At 35.5% G+C, this 13,183-nt stretch overlaps 5 pseudogenes; 1 reads left to right on the top strand and 4 right to left on the bottom strand.

Moving 5' to 3' along the window:
* MTCYBP7 (MT-CYB pseudogene 7) lies at positions 5,205-6,338 on the bottom strand (annotated as a pseudogene).
* On the top strand, positions 6,408-6,931 carry MTND6P7 (MT-ND6 pseudogene 7; annotated as a pseudogene).
* MTND5P27 (MT-ND5 pseudogene 27) lies at positions 6,941-8,718 on the bottom strand (annotated as a pseudogene).
* MTND4P25 (MT-ND4 pseudogene 25) lies at positions 8,950-9,503 on the bottom strand (annotated as a pseudogene).
* LOC124906192 (uncharacterized) lies at positions 12,716-12,819 on the bottom strand (annotated as a pseudogene).
* Positions 12,820-13,183: the final 364 nt, after the last annotated feature.

The following is a 13,183-nucleotide window of genomic DNA, read 5'->3' as shown; positions in this document are numbered from 1 at the left end:
ATGCAATGTCATTATTATAGGCAGCTGAATATTCTTGCTTTAAAGAAAGTTATATATTATAACAAAAGGAGCATAAATTGGAATTGATTTCATTAGAGGAATTTAACACCCGCAAAATAATGACACTGTTTTTTCTTTAGGCACACTATTACATTACCATTTTGCTTCACTAAATTAAAAATGCTATCAAGTTGGTAGTAAATTCTGAAGTGTGTTACTGAGCAAACTCTAAAGTCCATAGAGGGGTCTGGAGCTCATATATAACAGCAGAAATAAATTAGACACAAAGTTTAAAAATCAGCTTTCATTACAGGAAACTTTGAAAACACATCAACATCTCATCTCTTTAAAAAAGAATACTTCATTTTAATGACTCAGCAGATAACTCCACTGATGTTTAGCTGCTAAAAGAGGTAAATTTAATGATGCCGAGCATTTCAGAGTTCAAGAATATTTGGACTATAGACTACTCTACAATAATTGGAATTTATTACAAATGAGTTTCTCCACACCTGTTTTCTAAATGAGTGCTCAAAATGGCCTGGTAGATAATCCCAATGGAATGGTTTTAAGAACTTGTCAAATGATCAGGCATATTTTACTGCCTGGGAAGTTCACTGTAAATGATGTATAAGCAGAAAGCTTACGTGTGTGTGTGTATGAGAGAGAGAGAGAGAGAGCAGGGTATAAATATTAAACTAAAATGAACGACTGAGTTATCTTCAGAAGAAGGGTTCTGCCCTGCTTCTATTTTTCTAACTGACATCAATCAATTGAAATGTCACAAGCATTAAGGATTGCCAAGGAAAAAAGTGAGGAAAGCAGAAGTATTAGAAGGGACTAAAAACCTATCAGATGACCAGAAGAGCCTGTCCCAGTGGTAGGCATCCAGAAGCCAAGCTTCACAGGGAATGTGGATGGATAAGGGTAGTTACACACAAAATGAAAAAGAAACTGTAGGACCTATTACAGTCAAAGAGGCAAACACAGAATTATTCTCTGGACAATGGCATTTATCAGCAAAAATGAAGGTTTATTCTAAATCTAAGGCACCTTTTCTCATTTTGTAGATGTAGACTGGTGAAAAACAAATTTGCTAACCCCTTCCTATAAAATTTCTGGTTAATTTTAATCTTTTTACAGATCTTTTTATTGCAAGATTTTGGGCTGCAAACATATTTTCATTTGTGATTAAATTTACTTTTTATAAAAAATAGATTATATGACATTATTTAGTCCTCTCAAAATTTTATATGATATAAGACCCCATTTCATCAAGCTGAAAAAGTACATTGCCATAAATAAACTGAATTTCAATGGCCACTGAACTCTTTGCTGCTGTATACAAGGCGTTGAGTTTTTTTTTTCTCCTTCTCCTGCAATTTTTGGGATTATTATATAGATACTCCTTGGGGAGTTTAAACATCTGACAAAATCCTAATGATTTCTGATTTTTTTTTTAATTTACTTCGTTTTTCCAAACACAGTCACATATCTTTCCCTTCAATCACTGCAGTGACTCCAAAGAACAAATTGATACTTTCTATAGCAAGCATGGAAATACAACAAATAAATATGTGGCTATTTCACTTCTCAAAAGGTCAGTTTTAACTTAATTTTGGTCTCTTTATTCTAATAATGTCCCCTATGTTGCAGAGGTGCCCTCTCCTATTGAAAAATAATGTATCAGTACCTTCACATACCTTGGATTCCATATGGGAAGTGAGACTTTGGAGAAAAGTTTTACCTTTCTTTTATGTTATTATCATTTTTTTTTAAGACAGATCTCACTAGGTCACCCAGACTGGAGCGCAATGGTACAGTCACAATTCACTGTAACCTCAAAATCCTGGGCTCAAGTGATCCTCTTGCCTCAGCCTTCTTAGTAGCTGGGACTACGGATGTTTGCCACCACACCTAATTTTCTTTTTCTTTAATCTTTTTCTTTAACTTTTTGTAGAGACAGGTACTTACTTCATTGCCCAGGCTGGTCTTGAACACTGGGCCTCAAGCAATCCTCCTGCCTGGGCCTCCCAGAGTCCTCGGATTACAGACATAAGCCACTGCAAGTAGCTTTTTCCTTTTAATTTAAGCCCTACTTCATCTGTCATTATTTTTGGACTGTTCATCAACCTTTCCACAATGATGGTAACTATGATCTAAGATAAAAATTCCTTCAGTGAAAATCACAACACCACTTTAAGGAATGTGTTTATGCCCAATAACTCCTGACAACAACTTCAGAACACAACAGCCCACTTTAATTCTATGTTATGTAACACCACATAATAAATAAAATAATATAATTGCTCTTTAGGCTATCAAAACTCTGCCCATTGCCCTTTATAATCTCTTCTATGGTTAGAAAATGGAGACTATGTTAGTACGATCTTCCATCATTTCTTTCTGTATCTTCTCATCTTCTAAGTATACTTCAAAAATAATAGTTAAAAAACACATAAGCCTGGGCACAGTGGCTCACGCCTGTAATCCCAGCACTTTGGGAGGCCCAGGCGGGCAGATCACGAGGTCAGGAGATCGAGACCAACTTGGCTAACACGGTGAAACTCTGTCTCTACTAAAAATACAAAACAAAACAAAAAAATTACCTGGGTGTGGTGGCGGGCGCCTGTAGTCCCAGCTACTTGGCAGGCTGAGGCAGGAGAAGGGCGTGAACCCGGGAGGCAGAGGTTGCAGTGAGCCGAGATCGTGCCACAGCACTTCAGCCTGGGTGACAGAGCGAGACTCCATCTCAAAACAAAATAAACAAACAAAAACAAAACAAAACAAAAAAACACATAAACATATCACTAAGTAAAAAACATATTTCTATAATTTGATACTTAAATCTTTATATGGAGAAAAAAGAAACATTGCTTTCTCAAAATAACAGCAAAAGAATTTTGAGAGCTAGTAGTAGCTTAAACAGACAATTTACAATTTATGTTGCCAAAGATCTCAATTTTTCAGTCCAAAAATTTACAATTTTCTTCAGGAACAATGAGTGATTCCTTGCTTTGTATTTACCTTTTAGGTGTTATTTGATTATCTATTATTTTCCTCAACTCTTTGATTGCAGATGGGATTATGAAATAGTATGTAATGTTTCATATAGCAGTTGGGGTCTCTTTGCACAGGCAGGCTCTAATACTAGTCTAGTAATTTGGGAAGAATGGACAGAATAGTAGAATGCCCCATTTCAATATGTGTCTTAAGCTGTGTTCTCTAGTATGCAGCAGATATTGAAGATGATACTCTAGCTAGGTACTCATATAGTCTCTATTTAAGGATTCAGTTGAATAGATAATGATTCAAAGTAACAAATGATTAGGTTATCTTAAATTTTCAACAAAATTTGCTATAAGATTAAACATAGGGACAGCTTTTCAGGATTAAAGCATCACATACTGACATTAAGGCTCCTTGATCTATGGTTGCTGCATCATATTGATATCACTGAGGTGGGGATGCTTCCATGTGTAATCTTAATAAGAGGTAATAAAAAGGCCAGGACCAAGCCTATCTGTTTATGGGGTTGTGTGGACCCATCTAGACATTTTCAGTGTCTTGCTTTGAATGGTTAAGCTAAATTAACTGCATAGAATACTTAAGTGGAAAATTAAAATATGAGAAAGAAAAAAGAAGAAAGAGAGAGAGAGAGGGAGAGAGGGAGGAAGGGAGGAAGGAAGGGAGAGAGAGAGAGAGAAAGAGAAAAAAAGAAAGAAAGAAAAAAGAAAGAGAAAGAAAGAAAGAGAGAAAGGAAGAAAGAAAATTGTTTACAGTTCTGGAAATTCAAGATCTTTAAAGTTGAATTAGCAGAGGTTTGGCTGAGAGGGTTATTCATAATTAGAGTATGGTTGACTTAGAGGTATGGTATATTGGGGCAGCACCTTCAGAGGGTTATGCTCAAGCTATTATATTAGTATTCGGGCAAAAGTTTAGTTAATACAGTTATTATAGCTAATGGAGGATTTATTTGGTAGAAGGGCCTTAAGTTTTTTTCAGAAAATTACATGAAGTGAGGGGTAGATGTTGGGGTGTTCGTGGCTAAAATATGATATCTGGGCTCTGACTGGGTTGCATTTTAGTCTCTTGTTTTTGGGGTTTGGCAAGGGTGTATTTACCTAGGTTGATGATAAAGTCAGAGATCAGGTTGGGGGGAGGCTTGTAGATTTAATCAGAAATAGTTCTTGAAATTGAGCATGCGTGCCTGAGTGTACGTGCGTGCCTGAGTGTACGTGCGTGCATGAGTGTACGTACAGGCATGAGTGTATGTGCGTGTGTGAGTTCTTGTTGATTAATTGTTATGTCCTTCAAGCATGAATTAATTAAAACCTTATGGTTGTTATGTGAGTCCGGAATATTCAATGTAAGTTCAGTTACAATGGATTTGGCAGGCATCAGGCTTCCCCCATGCTGAGTCACAGCTCCCCCAAAGTTAAAAAATAACAAATGCATGACAGTGCTCCCATGACTGGTTAACGGGGTGGTAGGCATCAGTCCCTCGAGATGTCTTGTTTACGGGGAACGTGTAGGTGGTGTTAATTTTATGGCCCTGAAGTAAGAACCAGATGCCAGGTATAGTTTCAGCATAGTCACCCCCAAGTTTCATGGGCCCGGAGCGAGGAGGGTAGCACTCCCAAGTGGGGTGATGACTTCTTGGAGGTTTGTAGCTTAAGAGACCAAAAATTGTAGAGGATATCCGTAATGAGGAGGGATGTCTTAACTGAAATGTGCTATACCAGATGAATGAACATATGTACTATGTAAGAGTAAGGATTTATAGTACTGGTCAATATTCATGTGGGGCAGGTCTTATTGTACAACCAATAATGATGATGTGTGATAGTTGATTAAGAAATCACTAATATGTGCTTATATGCATATGGGCTAGGTTTTTAATGTATTGTTGTGTATGGATGTACTATGTATGAACAAGCAATTATAGTACTATATATTAGTCATGGGGACTAGCAGTAATGCACGAAGTACATAAAAGCACTATTATAATAGTGCTAGTTGATTAATACTGACATGGTAGTCAAATTATATGCTGAGAAAGAATTTAGGGAATAATTAGAATTTCAGCTTTGGGTGTTGACGGTGAAGTGGGATACTTTTTCCCTGAGCTGTCCTGGGGAGGAGATCCTCCATTTCTGGTTTACAAGACCAGAGTATTGAATTATACTACAAGGGCATCTTCATTTAAGTAGTTTATTTTCAATTAGGCCAGTGAGTGGTATAAGAGTGAGGATGGTAGAAAAGTACATAATAGATGCTGTCTACCTGATGGCAATAAAAGGGTATTTGACTGGCTGCCCTCCAACTCATGTGAGTGTAAATAGGTCAGCCACTAAAATTCAGAATAGATGTTGACTCAACGGTCAGAATATTACACTTTGCTGTTTAGACACGTAAAGTACAGGAATAACTGCTAGAATGAGAATGGAGCATACAAGGGCCAGTATGTCTCCTAGTTTATTAGGGATGGAGCATATGATTGTGTAGGCAAACAAAAAGTACCACTCTGGCTTAATGTGGAGTGAGGTGTTTAGAGGATTGGCTAAAGCATAGTTATCTCGGTCGCCCAGGAGGTCAGGCGAAAACAGTACTAGAGTTATTAGAAGGAGGAGGAGAATAATTAAACCTAAAATATCTTTGGTTGTATGCTAGGGGTGGATGGTAATTTTGTTGGAGTTGGATGAAACCCCGGAAGGGTTATTAGATCCTGTTTCACGAAGGCATGAAAGGTGAACAGCTGCTAGAGCTGTAATGATGAAGAGTAAGAGAAAATGGAAAGTGAAAAATCGTGTAAGGGTAGCTTTGTCAACTGAGAATGCACCTCAGATTCATTGCACAAAGTCAGTTCCGATACATGGGATGGCCGATAGTAGATTTGTAATTACTGTGGCACCTCAGAATGATATCTGGCCTCATGGGAGCAGGTAGCCTATGAATGCTGTTGCCATAGTTGTGAGTAAGAGGATAATGCTGATATTACAGGTTTCTAGAAATGTAAATGATATATAGTATAAGCTCCAGCCAACATGGAGTAAGAGGCAGATGAAAAATATTGAAGTGCCATTAGCATGAAAATAGCAGATCATTCAGCCGTAGTTTTCATCTCAGCAGATGTGAGCGACTGAAGAGAAGGCGGTTGAGGTGTCTGATGTGTAGTGCATGGCCAAAAATAGTCCTGTAATGATCTGGAGGGTTAGGTAGGCATCAAGAAGTGAAACAAAGTTTCATCATGTAGAAATGTTAGATGGTGTGGGAAAATCAATGAATGAGTAATTAATAATTTTTATTAGCGGGTGTGTTTTGTGAGTATTGGTCATTAGCATTCTTATAGTTGAAATACAATGATTATTTTTCATTCATTAATTATGGCTACAGTCCATGTGGGAATAATGGCATATACCATATTTTTATTAAGTGTCCTTTTGGTTATAGGGTTTGTAGGTTTCTCTTCGAGACCTTCTCCTATTTACGGAGGTCTAGGGCTAATTATTAGTGGTGCTGTGAGTTGTGGTATTGTGTTGAATTTTGCTGGGGCTTTTGTGGGGTTGATAGCCTTTTTTATTTATTTGGGTGGCATGGTGGTTGTTTTTGACTATACTATGGCAATGGCGACTGAAGAGTATCCTGAAACATGAGGGTTAAGTATTGACATCTGAAGGGCTTTATCATTAGGACTATTAATGGAGTTGATGCTGGTTTGGTGAATAGCTGAGCAGATGGAGTGGGGATTGTGATTGATTTCAATAGTGAGAAATTTTGGATGATTTTTGAGGGCGAGGAGGCGGGGTTGTTGCATGAAGATTCTGTGGGTGTGGCTGCCTTGTACACTTATGGGTGTTGATTAATGGTAGTTGCTGGTTGATCACTATTTGTTAGTATTTATGTTGTGATTGAAATTACTCAGGGTAATAGATTAGATAATTAGGAGTAGTGTTATAAATGATGGAATAAAAAAGGAGAGAAAGTACAGTTTAATTAGTCCTTTTTTAGTAAATACGGTAATGGAGCCTGAAATTTGGGTTTGTGTAATGGTCTTTGGTATAGACTCTTCTAGTCAAATTAGGTTTAGTAGAAGTGAGGCCAGATTTTGGCTTATGAATAGGTCTGAGTGGGAGGTTGTATGGTGAATTGTGGCTGAATAAATTCCTAGTATATTGGAAAAGTTGAATGTCTGTAATGGGTATTTTAGTTTAAGGTCATTAGTTATAAAATTAAGCTCCATCGCTAGCGAGAAGCCTAAAATGGTCACACCTAGGGCTGTGAGTTTCAGGTGGAGTGGCATGTTTGTTTGGGGGAATGAAGCAGGAATGATACTGTTGATGATGAGGAATCTGGCAAAGATGCTGCCTATTATTAGGTGCTTAACTGAGTTGATTAGGAAGGGGTTATTTTCGTTAATAGTAATCAGAGTTGTGAAGCGAGGTTGTCCTGTTAGAGTGAAGAAAATAATATGGGTACTATAGACAGCTGTCAAGGAGGTGGCAATAAGAGTAACAAAAAGGGCACAGGTATTGGTGTATGACATGTTTGTAGTTTCAATGATGAGGTCTTTAGAGTAAAAGCCTGTGAAGAAAGGCATACTTGTAAGTGCAAGACTGCTGATAATAAGGGAGGAGGAAGTGAGGGGTAAAGTCTTGAATAGCCCTCCTGTTTTTCGGATGTGTTATTCAACATTGAGTCTATGGATGATGAGCCCTGAACATATAAATAATAAAGCTTTAAAAAAGGCATGGGTGCAAATGTGAAGGAAGGCTAGATGTGGTTGATTAATGCCAATTGTGACTATTATAAGGGCTAGCTGGCTTGAGGTGGAGAATGCTATGATTTTTTTTAATGTCATTTTGTGTTAGAGCACAGGTTGCTGTGAATAAGGTAGTAACAGCCCTCAGACATAATGTAAAGGTTTGGATTGATAAATTATTTTCTATTAAAGGGTAGAAGTAGATGAGCAGGAAAACTCCTGCTATAACGATAGTGCTGGAGTGGAGTAGGGCTGAGACTGGGGTTGGACCTTCTATGGTGGATGGAAGTCAGGTATGGAGGCCGAATTGAGCTGACTTTCCTGTTGCTGCTAAGAGAAGGTTAATTAATGGAAGAGAGTTGGGGGTAGGATCTAGAATAAATGTTTGCTGAAATTCTCATGTGTTGGAGGACAGGAGGAACCATGCTATAGCTAAAATAAAGCCAATATCACCGATGCAGTTGTACAGAACCACTTGGAGGGCTGCTGTATTAGCATCTGCTCACCCTTACCATCAGCCGATTAGTAAGAAAGACGTAATTCCTACACCTTCTCATCCGATAAAGAGTTGAAAGAGGTTGTTGGCGGGAACCAGAATTAATATTATGATGAGGAAAATAAGTAAATATTTGAAAAATGGATTAATGTTAGGGTCTGAGTTTATATATCATATTGAGAATTTTACAATAGATCAGGTAATGAATAGTGCTACGGGGATAAATATTGCAGAAAAATAGCCTGGTTTGAAGGTTAGTGAGAGTTTGAGAATCTGGATCATCATTCAATGTCAGTTTGCTATAATGACTTCTTGGTCTGCGCATATAAACGTTGTAGGGATGAGGATAATGAAGGCACATGTGATAGATGTTTTTATGTAATTTGGGTATGAACCTTTTTTTGCAGAGGTTGGTTAAGGTAATAGTAATTGGTAAGATTAAGGGGATTAGGGTTGTTATAACAGTGGAAGAATACATGTTTGTTACTTTTATTTGGAGTTGCACCAATGCTTTTGGTTCGTTCCTAAGACCAACTGATGACTCTCATCCTTTAAAAGTTGAGAAAGCCATGTTGTTAGGCATGGAGGAATGAGTTAGCAGTTCTCACATACTTTCTCCATAGATAAGAAGTTGCAGGCTTCTATTGTTAGATCCACAATCTAACGTTTTGGTTAAATGATAGCTACAGCATGCAAACCCCAAAATAATTTTAGGGTTTAAGAATAATAGGAAGATAGGCTCTAGATGTATAAGTGTTAATGTATTTTCTCTTGTAAAGGAAGGTTTGATACTGTTAATATAATATACAAGTGCCCCTTGTTGTGTTGTGATTAGCATATACAGTATAGGGCTGTAATTAGCATATTAAGTCCTATAAGCATAATACTGATATTTGATCAGGAGAATGAGGCCATAGTCACAAAGAGTTCCCCTACTAGATTAATAGTAGGGGGCAAGGCAAGGTTAGTAAGATTTGCTAAAAATCATCATGAGGCTATTAGTAAGAGAAGTGTTCGAGGGCCTCGGGAAAGTAATGTGGTTCGGCTACAGATTCTTTCTTAGCTTGAATTTGCTAGGCAGAATAGTAAAGATGAAGTGAGTCCATGAGCAATTATAAGGGTGACCGCACCTGTAAAGTTTCAAGGAGTCCGAATGAGGATAGCCATAATAACAAGTGCTATGTGGCTTACGGAGGGGTAGGCAATAAATGATTTTAAATCGGTTTGTCATAACTGATACTGGGAAAAAAACAAACAAACAACAACAAAAAAGAGGGGTTTCTACTTACCTTTAGGACTCTCATCAACACTTTTGGCAACGAATGTGTGAGAATGTTTCAAAATATTTTAAAACTAGGTTTATGTGCCACAAGTGTTGGATTAATAGTATAGAAAGTTTTCATTTTCTGATATTTGGTGCCATATAAAGATGAATACTAATTTGTCATTAAAAGTTTAATAAGAAAATTAATTGTCCCGCATGTATTTAAATATTACCAGGGAAAAATTAAGATTATCCCAGTAGTATAAGTGTGTGTTTACGTTTTTCATCTCTGCACATCTAACCAAATTCTAACTCCTATCACCATAGTGTATTCATGGTCCTAAGTGTTGATAACCCAGATTGTGATACATTTTATAAACCACTGAGTAAGATGCACAACAAGTACTTATTATGTGAGAAGTTAAGCATGCACAGTTGAGACCAAGGTGAATAAAAATTTGAAAAAGATTTTAACATTGCAAAGAACCACATATTAATAAAGCAAGCGTGTATGCAGTAAAGAAAGCCTATGTTCAAAATGCCTCAGAAAGAAGATTCAGGTTGGCATGGGAACTATGCAAATATGTTAACAACAAATAGAAGCCACTAAAGTATGTTTCAAAGGAACATAAAAAATATAGCTCAAGAGATGGTGTTAGCTTTAGAAAGAGCAAAGAACAAATCTGGTGAGCATATGAAAAAAAAAAAAAGGACTTACTCAAGAGCAATCTTGAAATAGTAGAGTCCAAACTAAACATACACAAAAATAATTACCAGAGTACTGCCAAAAAATAACCTATCTTAAATATGTTTGGAGATTAAAGAAGAGCCAGATTCCTTATGCTTTTCAAAACATTACAAGATCCAGGAGGATGAAGGAGATCTAGACTTCTTTATTTCATAACTGAATGAATGATAAAGAAAATCTGATTCATGAAATTCTTCAGAGTTTCTGCAGATAGAGTAACAATAATAAAAAATATAGTTGAAACTTTTCTTGAATTAACAGAATACCTGCAAAGAACTTGACTAGATATGGAAAGGTAATAAATGGTCATGAAATATATTGATGAAAGAGCAGGTTATGAAATGTACTCATAAAAGAACAGGTGCTAATTACGGAATTTGTGCTCTGGGGAAAACCCAGTGAACATACCCATAACTAAAGGGTAGCTAGGAAGGATAGCAGTAGTTAGAAGTTGAACAGAAACCACAGTAACTCCTGCTGATAAGTGAGGACATCACAAACCTGAATCATAAATAGGAAATTTAGATGAAGAACAAAGGAGAGGTTTTGGAAACAAACAAACAAAATCATAATAGTGAAAATAATTACCCCAATCATCTAGGGTGGATACATTTGAAAAATAAATTTGGTAGACCTAGAAAATTTTGAGAATGCTGCTTGTAAATAAATGGCAATTATGAAAATAAAAATTAAGTTAGATATCTTAAAATGCTTCACTTAAGAGTTCCACTAGTTCAACTAGAAAAAATAAAATATAGGTAACATTTAATAAAATATTAGACAACATAAGCTCTCAAATTTAAAAGATGTGACTTATGTTCATAAAAATATTTTAAAGGCAAATCCAGTTACATAATAGTAATAATAATTTAAAAAGTAAACCCAAACTAGACAATATACTGTTCATTAGAAACAGATCCAGGATTAGAAGACAACTGTTCACCTCTTGGATCAATTCCTCATTTCGTGGTCCTATATCATGAGTTTCTTAATTCAATTCAACTAAAATGTATTATGGACTTTTATATGCTAATTATGTTAATTACTATAATGTGTTACATGAAAGAAGATAGGATTTAAATCAACTAGAAAATTAAACAAATAACATTGTCTAAATATAAAATATGTCTGTAAACAATGTTTTTATGGGTAATCAGAGAGGAATTTATAGTTGAATACATGGTCTCTATTTGATGGCTTGAAAGTGTAATCTTAGTAACTCACTGCCCTCTTAACTCACTTGTAACATCTATCAGTTTGTCAGTAGCTTTCAAAATCATATGTTAACAAAAGTAAAAAGCAAAGCTTAAATGCACCATGAAGTGCCTCAGACTGGAGAGGAAAGACATGGAGGCCTATATAAAAAGACATATTCTAAGTAATACACTAAGGATTAGTCAACTTTGTCTTATAAAAAATGTGTAGTATTCATTCTCAAACACACAGTTACACTAAAAGATTTAACTGTAAAATAAAATAATTCAGTGACCACAAGTTTTTCTCTATTATAAACACAATTAATTCACATATTTAAAGAAATTATTATTTGTACGTGATCCTGGCAGACAAAGAAATAGCAAGTGTCATTTCTTACTCTGCAAGAAATTAGAGACTTTCAAACATCCAGTTTAAATATCTAATTTCATTTTTGAACTCAAGATTTTCTTTGGCTTATAAAGTCCTCAAAGGTATCTATATAAATATAGAGAACTTACTATTCCAAAAATTTTATGGGCAGGTAAATCTTGTTTATTTTTTATTTTTCTTATGGCTAATTTTTTTTTCTTTTTAAAGACAGTTTTATTGAAATATCATTGAAATATAAACATTGTATATATTTAAGGTGTACCACTTAATGTTGTTAAGATACCTCTACATTGTGAAGTGATAATCTGTTCCAGCTAATTAACATATATATCACCTTTACATGCATACTTACTATTTGATTATAAAGAGCTTTTAAGGAAGGAAGTAAAGCTGACTCTCAGGGCTGAAGTCATGTCTGGAAAAATTTACATTTGCAGCTGTGCTGTGTTGTTACCGATATCTGCTGGGAAAATGCTCTGACATTTTCTCTGAAATGATTAGATAATCATCTTCCTAGAAATAGGCTGGAGTACCCCAAATAGTACATTTAGTCTGCTTGCATAAGGGTCTACAGTTCAAGCCAGAGCATTAAAAAGGTTATGTAGCAAACATCCTCTAGGCATTTTCTAATTTTCCACTTCAAAGCTATGGAGAAAAAGTGTCACTACTAATTGCGTTTTAAGTTTGTATTTAAAATGTAGGATGAGATGTTAAAAAGAAAGAATAGGATTTAATCTTCAATGCAATTAATACAATTTGCAATCAATGCAATTAATGCAATTTGCCTGATACATGATACCTTTTTCTTTTATTATTTTTAAATTAACATTATATGAAAATAGCCGTTTTTGAAGGCAGGTAAGGTTATGTTCTTATTTAAAAATGAAGAAAAATACTTTTTTAGTATTTTTAACTGATAAGAACAGATACTACACTTGATCTTAGCCAAAGGGCATAGATATTTAGGTATATTCTTATTTTTTTTAATCAAACTCTTACTGTTTGATTGACAGTGCGCTCTTCTCTTCTAAAGTTGTATTACTATTACCACTCATACACTTCATCTTCCTTTTTAGCCCTAATACAGAGCTTCATTTTTTAACTTAACCTGGTAAACAAGCCTAATAACATTCAATGTTATATTATGACTGTTCTAAAAGCCAACTTAACCATTTAATTATAGGTAGTACTAATACAAGTGTAGACTATGATAAAATGATGAGTTATATTGTACATAGGCTCCATTTTTAGTTTGTACTTAAATTTGCATTACATCAAATTGGTTAAAAATATTTTAAAGTAAGCAATATTAACTACGTGCTACCA

This window comes from Homo sapiens, chromosome 2 (assembly GCF_000001405.40).
Source record: "Homo sapiens chromosome 2, GRCh38.p14 Primary Assembly".
Classification (NCBI taxonomy): Eukaryota; Metazoa; Chordata; class Mammalia; order Primates; family Hominidae; genus Homo; species Homo sapiens.
This window is presented reverse-complemented; position numbering and strand designations above follow the sequence as displayed.